This window comes from Homo sapiens, chromosome 1 (genome assembly GCF_000001405.40).
Source record: "Homo sapiens chromosome 1, GRCh38.p14 Primary Assembly".
Classification (NCBI taxonomy): domain Eukaryota; kingdom Metazoa; phylum Chordata; class Mammalia; order Primates; family Hominidae; genus Homo; species Homo sapiens.
The window spans coordinates 182,606,798-182,628,563 of NC_000001.11; the positions used below are offsets into that span (position 1 = coordinate 182,606,798).

Sequence of the window (21,766 nt, forward strand, 5' to 3'; positions counted from 1 at the left end):
ACAAAACCTGACCTCATTTTTGCCCAGCACTCCCAGAGCAGATGTGATCTCTTTAATGGATGGCAGCATGGGGGCACGGCTCTGCACCCTGGGTCATCTGGGGTCAGCAGTCTGGGCAAAGCCGTAGTCAAGATTAAATGTCCCACAGCATCCCAGCCATATTGCCTTTCATCTCCTTCAGCTCCCAGCCCCCAGCACTACCCTTTCCATGGAGGCAGAAGTCTAGATGGGGATCTTTGTCTACTGATAATGGTAAGCAGAAATGAGAACTCTTCCTCCATTTTTCTGATTTAGCTCAGATGATCCTCACAGTGGTTTAGGTCCTCCAAATTCAATCATCAATCTACAAATACATATTTCTTATGAATTTACTATATTCCCAAGTTGGTGGGAAAACAATAGCTTTTAAGGCTCTTCCCTGAATTCAAGGACCTTATAATCTAGCTAAGGAAATAGAACTGCATGGTGGGGAGCAGGGAAAGTGAAAGGAAACTATTGTTTGTCACAGAAACAGATGTCAAGGGAAGAGGCTGATTAGAGACGGTTGACAGTATTGAAAAAGAAGTGATGGAGCCATGGTAGCCAGTGAAAAGCAGAAGAAGTAGGAGGAGGCATGAAAGTGAAAGAAACAGGAAAAGCTCTTATCATTTGCAGGTACAGCAAAGGTGCAGAAAGACTAAGGAATTTATTAAATGCTGCAGAAGCACTTAGGGTTGTGGGACACAATTGGATGCCACTTTTAGATTTAAGAGCGTATCCTGAAGCAGCTGAATGAGGAGGCAGTGATCATCTCCAGCAGAAGTGAAATAGGCAATCACTGGGGACATTTCCCCACTGGTTCATGACAAAAACTTTGGGCACCCTCTCCTCCTGGGTAGGAGAAGTTGACCAAATTCAGCCTGGTTGTAGGAAATGACTTTTACTATGATTAATGATTACTGTTTAGGGTATTGCATGCAGCTTGCTTTGCTGCTATATTAGTCCTCTCTGGTTTCTTCTTTTCCCTCCCTCCCCACTTCTCCCAAACCTAGACTTGGAGGATGACGTCTAGACTCCTCTGTAAGGCATCTAAGGCTCTAACCACTTGGTCTCATATCCTTTATACACCCTAAATTCCAGCCAAACTCAGCAATTGGCACATTATCCTGGGCATCATGCTGCCTTATACCCACAAACCCTTGAGCATAAAATTCTCTTGGCCTGAAGGTCCTTCCCCTTCCTGTACTACTCAGTTAAAAAAATATTTTTCAATAAACTGATTTTACTTATATATTGAGATACAATTACATATAATAAAATGCACAAATCTTAAGAGTACAATTCAATGAGTTTTGACAAATGTATACACCCATGTAACCAATATGTAATCAAGCTATGGCTTCCATCACTCCTCATGCCTGCTCCAGCAAATTTCTCCCCTAAACAGAGGTGACCACTAGCCTAAGTCCTAGAACCATACATTGGTATTGACTTTTCTTGACTTTTCTACCTATTTTTGAGACCTAGCTCAACTGCCTTCTATTCTATCATACCATCCCTAATTCCTCCTCCCTCCCCGCATCTGCAAGCAGAGTTGGCCAGGCCTCCTTTGAGCCATCCCTGTTGCCCTGTACTGATAGAATCAATGTACAGTCTGTTTCCTCTGTGCACTCCTGGAGGGCAGGGACTATTGCCTTGGTCATCTTTTTTTATCTTCAGCCCCTATCACCATGCTCAGTTCTGCATATGTTCCATAAATGTTGGCTGGGTAGATGGCTTCTGTTTCAACACAAATAATAAAAGCTAACATTTATCGAACACTTACTATGTGCCAGGCTCTGTTCTGTGTGCTTTGACTTGAAGTATCTCTTTCAATGCTCACAATTACACTCATAAGATCAGTAATATATTTTCCCCATTTTACATTTGAGTAAACTCTGTTTACGTTGAGTAAACAGAGATTGGTTAAGTAACTTGCCTATGGCCACAAAGCTATTAGGTGGTCGAGTTGGGTTTTGATTTCAGATAGTCCAACTCCAGGACCTGGGTTCCTAAGCAAACACTACGTCGGCTTGCCATGTGGTATTTTCTAGAACTCAGAATTGGCTTGCTATGAGAAGAATGAAGCACATCCTTGGGGAATCACGGCACAATGTTTCAGGTCATCCTTCTGTCTTCTGCAGTTTTGTTTCCTTGTATCCTCTCTTTCTTGCTCACTCCATTCCTCCCTCCCCATTCACATTTTCCACTTCCTGTCTTTGCCCTTAGCTGTGATGTCATCACAGGCTCTGGATTTTTCTGCTGCTTCACTTCCCAGTCCCTTGTGTATACAGTTCCCGAGTATGGCTGTGGAGAGTCCCTTTCTCTGCTCAAGTCCCTCTGTTAGCATGTGGGTTTTTATATCTCTTTTTCAGGAAAACTCAGAATTCAGCTCTGTGTTCCCCTGCCACACTTTCCAGCCCATGCTGTCCCATCTTCTTTTGCTCATGGAAAAGCCTGGTTCCCACCTGGGAGGGAGACCAGGGGCAGCTCCCAAAGTCTTTGGGATGTGTCAAAACCCAAGACCTTTGTTCCTCCCCATCCTCCTGGGAACCTGAGAGCTGGGGGATGGCGCCTGGCCCTCTGAGGTTTATGCTTTCTTGGTTCTCACATGCTGGCTTGGCCCTTCCCAGGCCCAGATCTTAGCGTTTTGTGGTCTGAAACCCGTGAGCTTACCTGCCTGACTGTAAGGTCCACTTCACCCCACCCTATAACCCGATAGTCTACCTCCCTCCAGGCTCCCGAACTTTCCCTGCCTGCCAGCGCCCAGCTTCCTCCACCTCTCCCTGTGCTCACCAGCCCATGCTGTCTCCACTCTGCAAACCCCTGCCCACCCCTGCCATCACCTTGCTGCATTCCCTAAAGTACCAAGTAAGTCATCAGTAATAAATGGGCCCATCTCACCTTAACACTTCCATTTCCGAAGTAAGAGAGTTACCTAAGAAGCCTGAGTTTCTAAATGTCTTCCTCTTTCCCACCATACCTCCTCCTTGCCTTCTTCACCTTTGTCACAAAAGTCATTTTTCTGAGAGTATCTCATTTCCATTCACTAAGACTTAGAAACAAGGCTTATTAGAATCTGCATTTTACTGTAATGATTTTCCAAGACCCTGAGAAGCCAGTCAGAATGAAAGATTAGAGGGGGGAAACGTGAGGCCTGGGATTTGCAAATGACTGAAAGGTGATGTTTATATTTCCCGTCCCCTAGTCCTTTGCAAACTGAGGATGGAGCACATTTTTATTTTAGAACTGGAAAGTCAGACAGGCATAGCACCCCAGATGGTGCCTCTATCTCTAGAAGGAAATAAGCACCAGAAGAAATCTAACAGGTGCCACCCCTAATCTGGGAGTAGAGGAGGGATTCTGACCATCGCTCCCCACACCATATTCTCTCACCAAGGCAACAGCCAGTGCTGATGTGTAACATCGTGGGCAAGAGGAAAGTATTCTGCTCTTTGGCCTAACTGTTGTGTCAAGAGAACGGGGATATAGAATAGGTGAGGAGAGAACATTGTTTTACTCTCAAATATTGTGTGTGTTTGTGTGTGTGTGTGTGTGTGTGTGTGTGTGTGTGTGTGTGTGTAGGGGCAGGGAACTGAAAGACCTTCGCAGAGGAGAACCTCTATGAGTGGCCAACCACCCTCATTTCTTGGAAAACTCAACATATCAGACTACCTCTGTTTCCAGAGACATTCAGTGTTCTCTCCTCCATTCCAAAGCTGCCTTTGAGATGTGGATGCTTACTTGGACAGGTCTAAAACAGCCTCAGGGAGGTCTGGAGCCCAAATCTCGGTGCCTAGTGCAGTGTCTAACACAATAGAGACACTCATTAAATAATGAGTGAATGAATCCCACTCCAAACATGGTGAATATCCTTGGAGATTAACTGTCAACCCTGCCTGCCCCAGATCCTCCAGATTGCAGGCATTCTCAGCTAAACTTCAGCCAGTCAGCTTTCTGGAAACGGGTCCCAGGAGGGCTGAATTATGCAGTGAAACTTATTACTCTGCAGCCCTCTTACACTCCCCTCCCCCTGTGGCTTGCAGTCTCCCAGTGCAGAGCAAACTGGAGCAAAATCAGGGAAGGGTCAAGCAGACATCAGTGGCTCCAGAGCCCAGCTAGAGTCGGAAGCAAGACACCAAACACACATGGCACCTATGCCGACTCCACCTACCCCTCTGTAGGCCTTTAGTGTGAAAAGCCCCCAGCTTACCTTGCCTCCTTCCTCTTCCTCTCCTAGGTATTCCAGAGCAGCATGTACTAGGGAGAACCCGGCTCTGTGTCAGACAGTAAGACGATTTCAGCCAGCTTGGGAGGTTGATGTCTGGTCTTCCTCCAGGCCCTGTCTTAGAGAAAAGGAAACTACCATTTTTAGGGCCCTCCATGATCCAACGCTGGACTCAGGGCCTTACAGATGCCACCTGTACAGAAGGGGAAACAGACATCGGTGCGTAAGTAATCTCCCCACAGTGACACACCTAGTGAATGGGAGTGCCAGGCTAGAAACCCAGTTCTATCCACAAGGTCCAACCCCAGGGCTATTCAATGCCTTGTCCCCATGTTCCCTAGCCTCTGAGCATCTCTCCCCCTGGACCTTGGCTGCTACTTCAGGCCATTTCTCCTCCTTGTTCTAGTCAGAAATTTCTAGGTGCTTACCTAGGCCACAGATGAGACATAAGGACCCCAGGAACAGCAAGCCCCAACATGTGAATACCACACACACGTGCAGAGATGTCAGGTCAGAGGCATGGGAGGGGCTTTGTCATCTCCTGGGAGTTAAGGACCTACTTTCTGTGGGGTACCTCCTCCTCCTTTGAGTCACCTTCCAGGAGTCCCCATGTCAACAGGGAGAGTAGGGGGTGGGGGTGGGGCAGTCTGGTGCAGGGGCACAGAAGAAAAACCATTTTATAGGAAAGCAGGGGAGGCTCAACAAAAGCACCAACACTAGCTGTAATGTGGCGACAAGTTGGAAGGGATCATGCCTCTCACAATGTGCTCACAACACCTGAGCAGAGGGAGAAACGTGGTGTGATGTGTGAGCAGCTGGGAGGCTGGGCCGGCAGAGTGGCGGCGGGGGAGGAGGGCCGGAGAAAGCAATGGGAACAGGTGGTCCTTTCACAAGCTCCCAGGCCCTCAGCCCCTGACACAGCAGCTGTCCTAGAAACAGGCCCAGGTGGACAGAGAGAAGAGCACAGCAGGGGGTGCATGATGTTTTTGCAGAGATAGAAATGAGCTCTCCCTAATAGGCCCCACACATTTGAGCAGGGGGGCACACGCGGTGAGCTGTGTGACTGAGCCTGGGTGAGCCACACCTCCTCCGCCAGCCATCTAGCTGTAGTGCTGCTCCAAATGTGACCACAGGGGAACTTTCTGGATCCAAGTCCCCAGGCGTCCCAAACACCCTGGCTGCAGTAAACACAATGATAGTCACTAACAACTGGTGTGCACACTTCCACTGTGCTCTACATTTATGGCTCTTACAGTCCTCGTCTCATTTAATCCTCACACTAACCTCTGAAGAAGGTCCTCTGACCATTGTTTTACAGACGGGGAAACTGAAGCATAGAGAGCTTAATGGAGGAAGAGATGGAAGGCTCGTGCCATGATTTGGTACTGGGTCATCTGACTGTCCATGCAGTTAGCTACGCATTCTGCAGACTTCCTCCATCCCCAGCTCCCACAGTTACAAAAAGTTCTTTCCTGCTCTGAGTTCTGAAATGCTCACATTCCCAGCTCCAAGAGGATTCCCAAAATGAATGTTTACCTTCTCTTACAGTTCAGTCTAGCCTTCACATCTTGGGAGGGGTTAGAGGGGGCAGAGGAAAGGAACTTTAGCTGCCTAGGTGCAGTTTAAAGAGGGTCTAGGTACTGTGGCTCTCAGCAGCCTTTGACCCTGGGGCCACTCTCTTCATCTTATGGAGGACAAGGCCTTTGGTTCCCTGGAGGTTCACTGAAAATCACTGACATGAGGCAGATTGATTAATAGGATAAAAGTCACACAAATTTATTTAATGTGAGTACACATGAACCTTCAAAATGAAGACCCAAAGACACAGGGGAAATTGTCCATTTTTATGGTTGGGTACAACAAAGTATGGACAGCCATGTAGAAATATGATTGAACAAAAAGGGTATGATCTAATGCTAATAGACTGAGTGGGGAAACCAAGCAAGGCCTGCCTGTCTGGATTCTTCTTGGCCTCTCTGAGCATGCATTCCTCTGTGAACCCAGAAAATCTGAGACAGCTCTCAGTCCAGAAAGTTTATTTTGCCAAGTTTGAGGGCCAGCCTGTGACACAACCTCAGGAAGTCCTGATGACATGTGCCCAAGGTGGCCGGGGCACAGCTTGGTTTTATACATTTTAGGGAGACATGAGACACCAATCAATATATGTAAGAAGTACATTAGCTCTATCCAGAAAGATGGAGACAACTCAAACCAAGCCCCCTACCTTCCAGGTCACAGGTAGCTGACAGACAGATGGCTGCATTCTTTTGAGTTTCTGATAAGTCTTTCCAAAGGAGACAATCAGAATATGCATCTATCTTTGTTATCTCTGTGAGCAGAGGGATGACTCTGAATAGAATGGGAGGCCCTGAGCGGTTCCCAGCTTGAAGGGGCCCAAGATATTTTCTTTTCACACCTTCCTTCTGGATGTGGGGCAGGACCCTCTCTGGAACAACGTAGAACAGATCATTTCTTTATGGTCAGTTTTTACACAGAAAGATGAAGAGAAAATTAGAGTAATGATTTTAGGTTTCATGGCTGACTTTGGGAAAAGGGGGTTCTGGTTTATACGGCTGCCTTGGAGAAGGGGAATTCTAGTTCCTAGTTCCTATGGCTTGCCTTGTGGGACAATGAGACTGAGACAGGAGGGCAAGAGAAGATCAGAGAAAAACTTTTGCTTCTGGGGCAGTATCTATATCTATCTCTCTATCCATCTACATATCTATACTGGTTGAATTGAAGTGGTAGTCATTATAACAATCTTTCAACTATTCTGCATGCCTGAAAATCTGTATAATAAAAAGTTGGGGGAAACGCTTTAAAGGCTGCCCCGTGACAACATGGATTACCTCTTTCTCTATTTCCCTAATATTGTGCATTATCAACAACTTAATCACATTTCATTGTAATTATGTGCTAAGAAACTTTCTCCCATAGGCTGTGTAAAAGTACAGTAGCTGCACACAGTAGGCACTCAATAACTGCTTGCATGCCTGAATATCCTCTCCTATGAGGCTGTCCTTGAGAATTAATAAGCCACCGGAGTGGGAAGACGCCAGAGTTAACCATACACTACCCTTTGATGCTTCATTCTTCATAACACAGAAGCTCATGAGCGAGCACAGGAAAGGCGCCGTGCCTGGGAGGAAAGACAATAAATGGCTATGGACTGAATGACAGCTCAGTTTAAAACTCAGGAGATCCAGCCTCTGTGGTCATATGATTAACTGGCTGTGTGACCATGTCCAAACACTAACCTCTCTGTGCCTCTGTTTTCTCACTTGCAAACAGGGAGTAATAATGTGTCTTGGCCAATAAGTGGAGAAAAGTGTTTTGAGGCCGGGCGCGGTGGCTCAAGCCTGTAACCTTAGCACTTTGGGAGGCCGAGGCGAGCGGACCGCCTGAGCTCCAGAGTTCAACACCAGCCTGGGCAACACGGTGAAACCCGCTCTCTACTAAAATACAAAAAAAAAAAAAATGGCCGGGCGTGGTGTCGTGCGCCTGTAATCCCAGCTACTCGGGAGGCTGAGGCAGGAGAATCGCTTGAACCCGGGAGGCGGAGATTGCAGTGAGCCGAGATCGCGCCACCGCACTCCAGCCTGGGCGACAGAGCGGAGGCTCCGTCTCCAAAAAAAAAATAAAATAAAATAAAAGGAAAGTGTTTGAAAAGTGCTTAAGTGCTCTGAAAAGTCTGAGATGCTGTGCAAATAGTGCGGCATTATCCTTATTTTTGTTATTAAAATGAGCGAGACTTGCCCTGACCAGCGACGAATTGACTCACTCAGTTTTGGGGGAGGGGGCGGAGGAGTGGGAGGAGCGGGAGGAGAGGGGCCACGCTTGTCTTCTCCGAGGGATGGGAATTTCCACCCAGCTGGAAGTAATAAGCGCCCGAGGCTCGGGCCTCACTGTCTCCACCCCCGCTTTCCCTTTCCTCTGACCAAGTGACAACTGCTCGGAAACAGACAGGACAGAGAATCTTAAAATAGAGCAGCAAATATCCGCGGCTCGCCGCCCCGGGCTCTGTGGCACCATCAGCAGCTTGCGCAGGACACAGACGTCGGCTCACGCGCCGCAGCCCTCGGCCCCGGAAGAGCCGCGGCCGCGGAGCAGCGAACGCGTGCCTGCCAGGGAAAAGCAGTCACCAGGAACGCGGCGTTTTGGTCGGCTGCCCATCGCCAGCCCTGTCCGCGCGAGATGCCCTGCTCCGAAGCTCTTGTGAGCTCCGCGGCCTGCGGCTCCGGAAGGCGAAGCTCTTCCAGGAAGCAGCGGCGGCCCCACTGGCCCTCTCAGGCTGCGGAGAAAGGGCGGGAGGCCGCGGGGCTCTCCAGGACTCAGTGGTTTCGGAGAAACTCGACTTCCCAGGCTCGGAGGGCCAGTTTGGGATTGTTATAGAACAAAACGTGGGCGGCATAAAGTGCTCCGAAGTGGAGATCACCTTGAAGACTGGGCCCTTGGCTCTGTGACCCAGCAGACCCGAAATTCCAATCTGGCAAACTTTCAGCCTGACCCTTGGGAAAGGATCGCTCCCAGAGTGTGGGGGTGGAGGTGATGGGACAAAGATCTTAAAATCCTGAAAAACAACCGTTATTCTCAACTGAATTTCTGCTAAGTGCATCCATTCATAAACAGTACGTGCCTGGCGCTCTTTACGTGTATTAACTGGTTTAATTCCCACAACCTTAAGTAGGGGCTGTTAATCTCACAATTGTAGAGCCACCATTCAAAGCCAGGCAGTCTGGCCCCAGCCTCTGTGGGCTTAACCACTACCCGCCGCCAAGCAGCTCCTAGGAGCCTGGCAGGGAAAGGCATGGTGACGACAGCAGACGAGGTCCCTCAAGTAGCTTGCATTCTGGAAGCGAAGAAAGATCATGAACAAGTTTCAAATTGGTAAAATAATTGTCAGTGGAGATTCATCCCATAAAGGAATTGAGTAAAAGGAAGAACTACTTTCAGTAAGATGGTTTGGGTTGGAGTTTCTGTTCATAAGGGCAGAAATGGACTCTCTCTGACTTAAAGAGAAAAAACTTTGTTAAGAGTTTGGGGTAACCCACAGAATTATCAGGATGTCTCAGAATACAGACAAGAACAAAGGGAGGCTCCGCAGCCAAAAGTCCCTCCTCTAAACCACTTTGATGAGGACCAAACAGGTGCTACTGCTGAAAGCTAGACACCACATCCTACTCCACAACCAACGCTGGAACTCCCCAGACACCCCGCTGGCTCTGCCGCCCCTAAACCGGATGCGGCAGCCACCGCGGACCCCACAGCGGATTCTCCACCACCCCATTTCTTTGCATTGCATCACCACCTCCAGAGTGTGCCTAATTGGCACCCCGCTGCTTCTGATGCAAAACTCCAAGCTGTACTGGGCAAACGCGCAGCCTCTGGCACCATTCCCAGTGCTGCTGAGCATACAGACCTGAGCACAGCGGAGGGGGAGGGCTTGGTGGGGAGGGGGACTTACAATTCATCCACGCTGTTGAAATCCCATCAAACACACACGACCCAGTTTGGCTGGTGCAGCCTTTTCTCTCCCCTCCTGATAGCATTTCAGCCTCTCTTCCAATAAAAAATAGTAGCTACTAATTTTGAGTGCCTGTTTATATGCAAATCTACCACAGAAATAAGCCTTCATTTCTGAGGCTAGCCCTTGCAAGGTAGTTAATTACTCTCCCCATTTTCAAATGCATAATCTAAAGGCTTAGAGAGGTTAGGAATCTTGTCCAGGTTCTCCGGTGTAAGAAGGGGTGGAGCCCAAATTTGAACTCAGGTTTGTAATGCTCTGGGGAGCACACACTGCCTCCTAAGGGGAAAGGCAAAAAGTTATCAGCACAGAAGTGATCCCTGCTCCAAAATCCCAGCCATGACATGTGGGGAGAGGGGACACTCCATCTGAATTTATGACCACGGTCTCTACAGCCCCTGACCCTGCCCACCACCTACAGACCCCTCCTGATACCCTGACCACTGCAGCCGTCCCAACCTCCCAGGTAGATGAGCTCTGTGAGGCCACTTGGTTCCTCCCGTGTCAAGGCAGACTCCTCCACCCCGCTGACCTTTATCCCTCATAGCTTCCATAAAGGTCCTCTGAGGTTCTACACCTACGGGTTTACACTGCTACAGGTAAGGCTCACTTTACACAAACACATATGTGAGCTGAATGTTTGTGAATTGATTCTATACTGATTGGATTACATCATCATTTCAAAAACCATTGTTAATCTCCACCTGCTCTTCAGCTCTCATTGACAATCAGGCACTTTAGCTTAAAGTTTTATTGCCCCCACTTCCTTACTTTTCTTGGCAAGCAGCAATCTATAAATCAATATTTAAATATACCAAGGAAGTTCACCATTAATGGATTCCCAGGTGAATCATCTTATAAAGTGAAAAAATTACTGCTTGATAAAAAGATCATCCCCTAAGACATTTGTATTGTGAATATGATTTTTTTCTTGGCTTTTATTAATCAGGTTGCATGCATATACTTAGTGGTGTAGTAATAAATCAGTCCTTTAAAAGGGGTAATCTGGTCAAAAAGAATGAGGAAAAAGAGGAGAGATAGAGGCAGTAAAAACAAATATGGATTTCTGGGCCTTTCTATTACTGGTTAAATGCGGGCTACCCCAGCCAACCTTTCAGGACTAGGTTTCTCTCATTGCAATATGGAGCAGAGTCTTTAGTATACATCATGAGGCTGCCATGAGATTTTAATGAGGCACTGTTTAAGCCCCTTTGAGATAAGCATAAAGTATTATTGAACTGCAATCTGTGTGCACCTATGAAGAGAGAAACATATCGCCTCTGGTTGTGGTGGAGAGGTTGCTGCCCCCTCTTGCTATGTGCCCTCCCCTGGATCAGGTTTCTATTTTTCCCCAAAGTGCCAGTGCCTGAGTCATTTCTAGCAAGTAGTGGGGAGTGGCATTACATCATTCACACTTTTCCCCAAGACCTGAGAAAACACGGCAGGCAAACTGGCAATAAGGTTTAGGATTGTCTCCGGCTGCTGCTGGAAATCTACACAGAAGTGTTTCTCCTGGCAGCAGACAGCTGCTGTGTTAGGTGTGAATCAAACATGCAAACCTCTGGAGATTTTTCTTTCCCTTCTCTGAGACACAACTTAGCAGAATTGCTGAAAATAATGGTGACACACTGTCTCAGCGCTGGGGCTTTCAGGGAGATGGAGGAGGGGAGCGAGGGCTGCTTCTCACCAGCGCTCAGGAGAGAGTCCAGTCCCTTTCAGCATCTTCCTGTGTGCCTCACTGCTCTGAATTCATCTCTCTTTTTCACCCTGCCTTTCTGGAACTGTCAGACTCCTGCCCTGGATTCCTGTTTAGGACTGTGGTTGCATCTCCAGAGGCAGTGGGGCCCTGCCTAGAGACCCGTGGGCAGGGATTGGGAAGAAAGTGAGCTTGATTCCCCCATCTTTCCCGTGATGGCTAGAGTTAAGAACCCAGTTCACGTGTGCATGCCTATGTATATCACATGTGTGATTCCTAAACTAAAAGATTGAAATTCTCTCCAGAGATGTCAACAGTTTCAGCTGCATTTATTTAGCTTTCCCATTGTAGAGTTGGTGATTCCCAGATGATATATGACTACAGAGATGCAAGTAGAAGCATTCTTCAGCCTCCTCCAATGAGAGATACAACCTAGACCCAGAATGGAGAGGCTGAGGGCAGCCAGGGAGCCTAAGAAGCCTATTCAGAATTCCTGCATTTGGAGCCTAGGAATTTATTTAATGTCATTGTTATTTTATACACTTGGCATTTGTTTATATGCAAATAGTGCATACCAGTTATGAATCTCAGTCCACAAACTATTTTTTCTATTTCCTATAGCTTAACTTGATTTCTCAGAGTTTTCCTTGTGCAGACTGTTAGGCAACAAAACAAACAAATAAGAAATCAGACCTTCCCAAGGTACCTCTCCATGAGTGATACCAAGATTATGAGGCTTTATACAATGCCAAGGTACCAAATAGTGGGTGTGAGTGATCCTCTGGTGTTTGGTCTTGTGTCCACTCAGGTTTCTGCTGAGATAGCCAATCCCTGTCTACATGTTGCTTGAGTCTGATGACTCTCTGCTGCTCGGTTATTTCTCTTGGTCTGTGTGAACCTCTTGCAGTGCTGTCTATGGACCCCTTGCCCTCTCAGCCAATCCTCTCTAGCTTCTCGCTGAGTCCGCAGGGATGCCCTGGAAAACAGACCCAGGCCACTTCTGCTTTAATAATCCAGAAGCTATTTATTCCTTCATGTCCCAGCCCCAGGAGAATCTCTTTCCAGTGGAGAGATCAAACCACTCCAGAGAAGAGACCAGATGCTGACATTTGGGCTTCCCTATGGAAAAAAACAGTGAGTTGCTGTAAAAGTCCTGTTCATACACACAGAGCTCTCAGTCACACTCTTATTGCCTTGGTTTTAAATATGAGTGAACAATCAAGGATCACCAGACCTTAGAGCAAAGCCCTCAACTTGAAAGAAAGAGACTAAAGTAAACAATAAAAGGGAACCCAAGAGAAACAGAAACAATTCAGGAAACAGAATAGAAAGGAAACAAATTAAAACAAACCAAAACCCATCATTCATAGCTTCAGGGAAATAAGAGAAAATATTGCAACTATAAAACAAGAACAGAATTTTGTTTTCTAAGAAACAGAGAAAAATTATAACCTCTTGGGAATTAAAAATGTGATACCAAAAAAATCAACAGAAGTGTTCAAAAACAATGTTGAGGAAATCTTTCAGAAAGTCAGAAAAAAAGGGACATTGGAAATAATAAATTAGAAAATTAAAGGATAAAGCTGGGCACGGTGGCTCACGCCTGTAATCCCAGCACTTTGGGAGGCCGAGGTGGGTGGATCACTTGAGGTCGGGAGTTCGAGACCAGCCTGACCAACATGGAGAAACCCCATTTCTACTAAAAAATATAAAATTAGCCAGGCACAGTGGCGCATGCCTCTAATCCCAGCTACTCGGGAGGCTGAGGCAGGAGTATCTCTTGAACCTGGGAGGTGGAGGTTGCGGTGAGCCGAGATCACGCCATTGCACTCCAGCCTGGGTAACGAGTGAAACTCCATCTCAAAAAAAAAAAAAAAAAAGAAAGAAAGAAAATTAAAGGATAAAGCCAAGACGTTTCATTTATAACTAATACGAATGCCAGAAAAAACAGTGGGGAGGAAATTATCAAAGAAATCCTATAAGCAAACCATCCCCAAAGTGTCAGTCTCCACACTGACCGGGCTACCACGCGCTCAGCTCATATTGAATACAAAAACCCAGACATCATTATAAATTCAGAACCCTAGGATACAAAGGTGGTCCTAAGAACCTAGAGACCGGGGGATTGAGGGGGATTGGGGAACAGACCACAAACAATACACAGGAATTGAAATAACATCAGTCTTCTCAATAATAACATTGAACACTTCCAAGGTTCTAAGTGAAAATAATAATAATTATATTTTAAATAATATAATAAATTTTTTTTGAGATGGAGTCTTGATCTGTCACCCAAGCTGGAGTGCAGTGGCACGATCTCAGCTCACTGCAACCCTTGCCTCTCAGGTTCAAGTGGTTCTCCTGCCTCAGCCTCCTGAGTAGCTGGGATTACAGGTGAATGCCACCACGCCTGGTGAAAATTATTTTCAACCTGGAATTCTATGTCACCCACCTCAAGAGTGAGCAGAGAATGAAGATTTTCAGTCAGAAAAGTCTCAAAAACATTATCTCCCATGTACCCTCAGAAAGCTACACTAGAAAATATGTAAGTCCATAAAACAGGAAAGGATGGAGTGGAAGACAGAACTCGAGAGATAAGAGGAAAGTAGAAGGAGTTCTCAGGAAGTAGGCAAAGGAAGGAAGGGTAGGACAACAGTGGGCCATGAGAGCAGCCAACCCTGAATAAGACATCAAAGAGCTCCAGGAAAGATGTCTCAGAGGCAAAAAAAAAAAAAAAAAAAAAAAAAAAAAATCTGATAGACTTGACAATGTGGAAATGTTATTGAGCCATGTTTCACAGAGCTGTGGGAGCACATGGGAGGGCTTAGTCAGGTGCTGATAGAAAACTAAACAAATAAAAATTAGAGGCAATTACTAACTCCAGGAAAAAAGAAAAACAATATGCAAGAATGTACAGGTAAATAAGATATATTACTTGGCTTAATAGCAAACAATATTTATACAATCACAATAACAAAAGCTTTGTTAACCAGAAATTGGGGGACTAGGGAGCTAGCAGAAAAGAGGAAAATGTACATGATTTTAATATCTTCATTACCATAATAGGAAGTCTATAACTAATGTCTGAAATTAATGACTCAAGAGACAGCCACATACTCTGTGAGTTAGAAATATAGGGGAAGTACCAGATGAATACCTTAACATTGAAAATGGTTTTCACTGGAGAAAGGGAGGTGGAGCAGAGGGGAGATGAATAAGAGATAGTTAATTTTATTATTTTCTTCTACATATACAACTTAAAACCAGTTGCCCAGCAATACTTTTATTTAAAATAAGACTATATTAAATAAATTTTAAAAACAAACACTACTGGTCATGTATGTAAAACAGACACATAAACAAATCGGTGAAGGAAAAAGTTCCAGGTGCTACCTGTGCACAGATAAGGTATGGGCATGAAAGAGAGAGTAGCCAGTTCCATCTTGGAAGAGCCAAGTACCTCCTGACTCCTACTTTCCCTTCTTATCCAGAAACACCGCTGCCTGTGTGCATCTACAGATTTGGCTCTCTTGAGAAAACCTGAGGATTAAGCTAGAAACTCACCAAACACAGATGGAGAGGTGGTGAAGTCTACTGGCCAGGAACTAAGAGCAGAGTGCCAGACCACCTGGGTTTGAATCCTGGCTATGACACTGACTAACTGTGATTTTGGACAAGTTACATACCCTCCTCGCCCTCCTCACATGTTCCTACCTCATAGGGTTATTTCAAGGATTATGTGTTAATGTGTCAAGGGCCCAGAACAATTCTTGGTACATGTAAACATCATGTTCTCTCAGCAGACATGAGATGAACCTGCTGAGTGCAGGCACTGGATAAGCACTGGAGGGCACAAACAACCCTAAGCATGCCCCTGTCCTCCAGGAGATTAAGGAGGGGTGGGGAGTGGTGCAAAAGATACAACTGTAAATAGCATATTATCAGCAATATCGCCTAGGTGGCTAGATGTAGAATGAGGGGGACCAGTTTCCTAGAGAGGTGGCTGTTAAAATTTGCTCCATGAGAGGGTCTGGGAGACACCTTTTGGATTTTGGCCCCAGTACCCCTCTGTAGAAAGTTTCCCTTCCCTTCTTGTGTCCATGTGGTTGCAGCAGAAATGCTGTGCTCTGATAATGTGATCTTGCCTCCTTGACCAGATTGAGCACATTCAAATTAACCTGGGCCAATCCGTCTCTTACCTGGGAATTTTGGACCCCAGGATGAAGGATAGATTGGTTTCCCTCTCAGTGTCTTTTTTTTTTTTTTTTTTTTTTTTTTTTTTTTTTTTTGAGACAGAGTCTGGCTCTTGTCCCCCAGGCTGGAGTGCAATGGTGCGATCTCGGCTCACTGCAACCTCCACCTCCTGGGTTCAAGCGATTCTCCTGCCTCAGCCTCCCAAGTAGCTGGGACTACAGGCGTCCGCCACCATGCCCGGCTAATTTTTTTGTATTTTTAGTAGAGACGGGGTTTCATCATGTTGACCAGGCTGGTCTCGAACTCCTGACCTCGTGATCCGCCCGCCTCGGCCTCCCAAAGTGCTGGGATTACAGGCGTGAGCCACCACACCTGGCCATATCTTTGTGTTAAGACTGATGATGTAAATGTGGGAACTATTGACCATTTTTTGCCATGTGAACTGGTAAACAGAGAACAGTCAGCAAGAAAAGAGAAAGGTAGTACGCAGAGAGAAACTGAAAAGAGGAGGAAAGTCAGGGCTTCTGCATTCCTTAGGGTTCTGCTCACTGTTTCTGCTCACAGATTCCATGGGGTGTTCCAGTATTCTCACCAAAACTCCCTTTTATTCATGCTGGTTTGAGTTGAATTTCTGTTGCAAACCAAAATTTCTCTAATAATAGAAGGGGACTCCCCCACTTCTCCTTCCTGTATAGGCAGCAGAAAAAGAAATCTGACTATATTCCCTGGTCTGGCAAGATGTTCGATAAGTCTAAACCTGGAAAAAAACCCCAAAGAGTCCCTAGGGTTGCATCAAAATATAACCTGGCTCTGGGCCCAGGACAGAGCAGCTCTGGCTTCCTAGCGAAGGGTTAGGACTGTGGGAAGGAATGAAAGGAAGGACCGGAAAGGCTGAGGTCCTGGACTGGAGGGGGAGGTGAGAGCATCTGCAGCTGAGGCGCATTCAAGCTTGAAGTGCAGGGGATGTGGTGGGAGGTCAGGAGAGTGGTATGGGGAGAGGACCAGTAGCCATGGCAACAGGAGGGTCTTCCTTTGCCACTGAGGCAAAGGTGAACTCGGGGGGAGGTAGCCAAGCAAGGTATAGGGAGAGGCCAAGTAAGTGGTGGTCTTTGCCATCCATTGATTGTGTCCTTTCCTGCCCATTGTATGCTGGGCAGCAACATTTTAGGCATGGGAATGAAAGACTCGATTTTTCAGGGACGCGGCTATAGAGGTGAGTCATGGAACTATGGGGTATTCCCATTGTGCTCCCTTAGGTACAGGTGGCTGAGGAGTCCTCGGTCAGCAGGTGAAAGCATCATTCAAAGCTACAATTGAGGCAAATACCAGTGATTACAGCTGATTGAGGAACCTAAGAAGACTTCATGGAGGAAGTGGACCTTGAAGGATGGATAGGATTTAAACATTTAAAGGCCAAGCTTTACAGGATACTGTAGCTAGATATTATTCCTTTTTGTAGCTCTACCTCTCACAGCTCTAACACAGCAGATGCTCAAAAATGTTTGCTTAACTGAATTGGATTCCAGGTATAGGAAACAGTATAAGTAAAGTCAAGGGATGAGAAAGGGAGTGGGGTGTTATGTGTTGAGGCCTCAAGGAGAAATCCTGTTTGTTGGTTATAGCAGGCACAAAAGGAATCAGTCAACAGAAGATATGCTGAAAAAGAAAGCTGAGGCCAGAGCTGAAACTTGGAGATGGCTGATGAGTCCTCCAGCTCCCTGAGGACAGGGAGAGGCCAGGACATTTATCCTGGCCTGCCTAGTGATGGGCTCAGGGCCTATTGCAGGATAGGTGCACAAAAACTATTTAAATGAATGAAAGAATATAAAAAGTCACCCATTAGCAAAAAGTTCACCACTGTGTTCCTTCAAATCCAATGTCCTGTAGTCCATTTAATTTAGGACTCGGTGCACATAAATTAGTTTGCACAAAATTTTTAGAATGAAAACCATGGATGTAATAACTGCTTTAGAACATGAATCTGGGTCTGAATCCCACTTAACCTTTCAGGGCAACACTTCTTTTTGATTCCTATGTTTTCATGAGAAGGGGTTGCCCTAAAGTTATAATTGTGACTTCTCTCCCCAACTTTCCCCCTAAATCTAGTAAGCCCTACCCATAGAAGTAGCAACTCATTGCTTGGTGAGTTTAGAAAAAGGAACCAGACATACTCACTTCTCTTCAGGAGTGGCCTGTCCCCAGGAGACCCACAATTCCTACTCTATGGTAAGTTTAGTGGAGCCTGAGAGGAAGTCTGCAGTTTGAGAATTAAGTTCAATTCAGGAGAATCTGTTAGCACACCCATTTGGCAGCATGTGGCTCTTAGCCAAGCCCTCAAAACCAGCTTTTTCTGTAATAAAGCTGACGTTTTCATCATCAGGTATCTGACTCCTGTGTCAAAGGGTTCTGAACTCAGGAAGTGAGTGAAAAGCAGAGGTGTTAGTTACTGGCTCCCTCAAACCCCAGCTATTACTGGCTTGAGAATTTCCTTACCAGGAAAATGGATATGATGATAATATCCGTCATGTAGAGTTTAGTGAAGATTGAAAAAGATAATATGTTTGATGTTCGGTAAATGTTTGTTCTCTTTACTTCCCTGTTTGAAACCCTCTCTTTTAAGCATTTTCCCCATGAAGGCAGGGGGATATTGTACCCCTCTGCATATATCCCCTCTATATGTCTAGCATGTATTTGGATGTTCTGTAAATGTTAAAAAGGTGGAAATGATTATTGCAGGGAGGCCCAGCAAGTGAGTCATTTATGCCCATATTTTTTAAAATAGCTTTAGTGAGGGATAATCAACATACAGTTAACATGGTTGAAGTGGACAACTTGACAAGTTTTGACATAGGCAAACACCTAGTGAAATCATCACAATCAAAAGAGTGGGCGCATCCACTATCCCGAAAGTCTCTCATGCCTCTGTGTAATCCCTGCTCCCCTCCTCCCCACCCTCCTAGCCCCAGGCAACCACTGATCTGCTTTCTGTCACTATGGATTAGTTTGCATTTTTTAGAGTTGTATATAAATGGAATCATATAGTATATTCTCTCTCTTCTTTTTTGTCTGTCTGCCCATATTTTTGAAGAGCAATAAGCACTCATCATTGAATGCTGAAATACTGATCTTGGAGCCCAGAGTCCAGGACTGTTGTTCTGGTTAGACAGCAACATGTTGTTTGACCTTAGACAAGTCATATAACCTTTGTGTGCCTCAATTCCCCTTATCTGCACTATGGTAGGGAATAATTGTGTCTGCTCTACCCCCCAGATTTATTTAAGGTGGAAATACTGCATAAGGTATAATACTAAAAAATGGATAATAAACAAGCCATAAAATATTTCTGTATAAGTAGCTAGATGATATTTGGCAATATTAATGTATGTGTGTGTCTGTCTGTGTCTGTGTGTGTTTTCTACCTAAAATTTCCTATTTCCCTTCATTCAAGCAAATAGCTGACTCTGCACCTTATTTTGTCAGGCAAGTATTGTACAGAGTAGAAAAACAAAAGTAGCCTGCAGATCTTCCTGGCTTTGGATTTCCCAGACCTAAAGCCTTTAGAAGGGTTCAGGTTTACAGAAAAGGAAAAGGAGAAGGAATCTGTGGGTTTATACAGATGGTATCTTAGGGAAGTGGAGGGAAGGGTAAAGTGAACCCTTCTCAGCAGGCTCTGAAACAGTCCTGCTTCCATCAGCATCCCTCTTGCCCACCTTCCTGCTGATTCCTCTAGTACCTGAGCCTTTCAGGGACTCTTGAGGCGAAGAACTTGCCCCTTGTCAGTTAACCCCCACCCCACCCTTCCCTGCTCACCCTCTGGGATCAGGTTTGGCTTCCATCCTCTCTGGTGAGTCATTTGTCATTCCTCCCTCTGCTGTCTGTCTTCATGTGGGTTACAGATGTTATTCTAGTTTCACAAGCTAAAGTTTATTTTGCTGTTTCTTATTCTAATTGTTTGCCCATTGTTTTTAAGAAAGAAGGGTACAGAAAGGACTCAACTCTGCCTTCTTGAAATAGGAATCTAGTGATTTATTTGCCTAATATGTTTTAAAGTTAGGCTTTATTTTTTAGAGCAGTTTTAGGTTCACAGCAAAATTGAGGAGAAGGTACAGAGATTCCCATAGATTCCTAGCCTCTATACATGCACAGCCTCCCTCACTATCAGTATCCCCCAGCAGAGGGGTACATTTGTTACAACAGAGAAAGCTGCATTGGCACATCCTTATCACCCAGAGTCCATAGTTTACGTTAGAGTTCACTCTTGGTGCCCTGTGTTCTACAAGTTTGGACAATGTATAATGACATGCATCCACATCACAGTATCACACAGAGTCATCTCTCTGCCCTAAAAATCCTCTGTGCTCTGTCTATTCCACCCTCCAAAGCCTCTGGCAATCAGTGATCTTTTTACCATCTACAGTTTTATTTTCCAGAATGTCATTGCCTAACATTTCATATTGAGATGTAATTTACAGAAAGCAAAATGCTGGGATCTTAACAGTTTTAATTCAGGAAGTTCTGACAAATGCATTCATTCATGTAACCTACCTCAATATTGATACATGGAACATTCCCATCATCCCAGATAGTTCCCTTGTACCCTCTTCCGATTTCCCACTGCCACCCTGTCCCCAACCAGGCATCTACTTTCCTGATGTTTTTAAAACATAGATTAGTTTGCCTGTTCTAGACTTTGATACAGAATGCAGTCTTTCTGCATCTGGCTTCTTGCACGCTGCATGTTATTGAGATTCATCTGAGTTGGTGCATTTATCAGTAGTGCGTCTTTTTCCATTGCTGAGTAGAATTCCACAATTTCTTATTCATTGTCTTGCTTGCTTGTGTTGTTTCAAGTTTTTGCCTATTGTGAATAAAGCTGTGATGAACATTTGCAGATATGTCTTTTTGTGGACATATGTTTTTAGACCTGTGAGTGGAGTAGCTGGGCCATACGGAAGGTATATATTTAGATTTATAAGAAACTATCAAGCTGCCTTATAAAGTGCTTTGTACCATTTTACATTTACACCAGCACTATATAAGAATTGCAGTCATGCTACAGCCTTACCAACCCCCTTTTGTTAGCTGGATTTTCATTTTACATATTCTAGTGGATACATAGTAGAACTTCACTGTGGTTTTTGGCATTATTTTTCCTAATGGTCCCTAGTCCCTGGAAGACCCTCTTACAGCTCTGAGCAGGGGCCCCTTAGCACTCTTTTTGGTTGCCATTTATATTTCACATGTGCGGCTGTTTATGGGCAGGAGAGAACCATTATGGTAATACACTAATAGTAATGTGTGTTTCATATTTACAGAGGGCAGTAACTGCAGCTCACTGGGAGATTACTCCCTAGCAAAGAGAAATATTAATATGTCATTTGTGAACTTAGAAAAGAGGCCTCCAGGGCCGTAAGTGAAGAATTACATAACCATTGACATCTATGGAAATCTAGCTGTCTCCTCATGGCTTTAGTACTGTAGATAAAAATAATTTGGAGGCAGAGAAGGGATATGAAAAACATTGTATAACTAAAATAGGAAAATGTACTTGGAGATCCATGGAACAGAGAAGGGCACAGGCTGTTTCCAATTCTGGCACCACTGTTTACAAAGCAAACTTTTGGCAAATTATCTGATTTGCATTCTCCTAACAAGTGATGGTGTTCACCAGGTTTTGATTTGGTTTATTGGCATTCATGTATATTATTTTGTGAAGTGTGTGTTTAAGTCTTTTGATTAATTTGAAAATTGTATTTTGTTTGTTTTCTATTGAGTTGTAGGAATTCTTTACATATTCTTGACACACGTCTATTGTCAGATACATATATTGCAAATATCTTCTCCCAATCTGGCTTCCCTATTTATTTTAACAGTATTACATGATAAGTGGAAATTTTCATTTTTGAGGTAGTATAATTTATCAGTTTTTGTTTGTTTGTTTGTTTTTGCTTTTGATGGAGTTCGCTCTGTCACCCAGGTTGGAGTACAGTGGCGTGATCTTGGCTCACTGCAATCTCCGCCTCCCGGGTTTAAGCAATTCTCCTGCCTCAGCCTCCCAAGTAGCTGGGATTACAAGAGCTCACCACCACACCCGGCTAGTTTTTGT

General features: G+C 45.1%; 1 long non-coding RNA gene across 1 annotated transcript, besides 7 other annotated features; it reads left to right on the forward strand.

The window, feature by feature from the left end:
- Window positions 4,977–5,116: an enhancer, noted in NCBI's record as "active region_2203". NCBI's record gives its function as "activates an Ori minimal core promoter by ATAC-STARR-seq in GM12878 lymphoblastoid cells {active_cell/tissue: GM12878}" and the evidence as "EXISTENCE:reporter gene assay evidence [ECO:0000049][PMID:35858748]".
- Window positions 8,068–8,965: an enhancer, noted in NCBI's record as "H3K27ac-H3K4me1 hESC enhancer chr1:182584000-182584897 (GRCh37/hg19 assembly coordinates)". NCBI's record gives its function as "activates a minimal SCP1, AML or CMV promoter by ChIP-STARR-seq in primed H9 embryonic stem cells {active_cell/tissue: H9 hESC(primed)}" and the evidence as "EXISTENCE:reporter gene assay evidence [ECO:0000049][PMID:30033119]".
- LINC01686 (long intergenic non-protein coding RNA 1686) lies at window positions 8,343–9,832 on the forward strand. The gene has a single exon (NR_036490.1). It is a non-coding gene; the product is annotated as a long intergenic non-protein coding RNA 1686 (long non-coding RNA).
- Window positions 8,994–9,542: an enhancer, noted in NCBI's record as "H3K4me1 hESC enhancer chr1:182584926-182585474 (GRCh37/hg19 assembly coordinates)". NCBI's record gives its function as "activates a minimal SCP1, AML or CMV promoter by ChIP-STARR-seq in primed H9 embryonic stem cells {active_cell/tissue: H9 hESC(primed)}" and the evidence as "EXISTENCE:reporter gene assay evidence [ECO:0000049][PMID:30033119]".
- Window positions 8,994–9,545: a biological region, named in NCBI's record as "H3K4me1 hESC enhancer GRCh37_chr1:182584926-182585474".
- Window positions 9,436–9,545: an enhancer, noted in NCBI's record as "active region_2204". NCBI's record gives its function as "activates an Ori minimal core promoter by ATAC-STARR-seq in GM12878 lymphoblastoid cells {active_cell/tissue: GM12878}" and the evidence as "EXISTENCE:reporter gene assay evidence [ECO:0000049][PMID:35858748]".
- Window positions 9,543–10,090: an enhancer, noted in NCBI's record as "H3K4me1 hESC enhancer chr1:182585475-182586022 (GRCh37/hg19 assembly coordinates)". NCBI's record gives its function as "activates a minimal SCP1, AML or CMV promoter by ChIP-STARR-seq in primed H9 embryonic stem cells {active_cell/tissue: H9 hESC(primed)}" and the evidence as "EXISTENCE:reporter gene assay evidence [ECO:0000049][PMID:30033119]".
- Window positions 16,021–16,080: an enhancer, noted in NCBI's record as "active region_2205". NCBI's record gives its function as "activates an Ori minimal core promoter by ATAC-STARR-seq in GM12878 lymphoblastoid cells {active_cell/tissue: GM12878}" and the evidence as "EXISTENCE:reporter gene assay evidence [ECO:0000049][PMID:35858748]".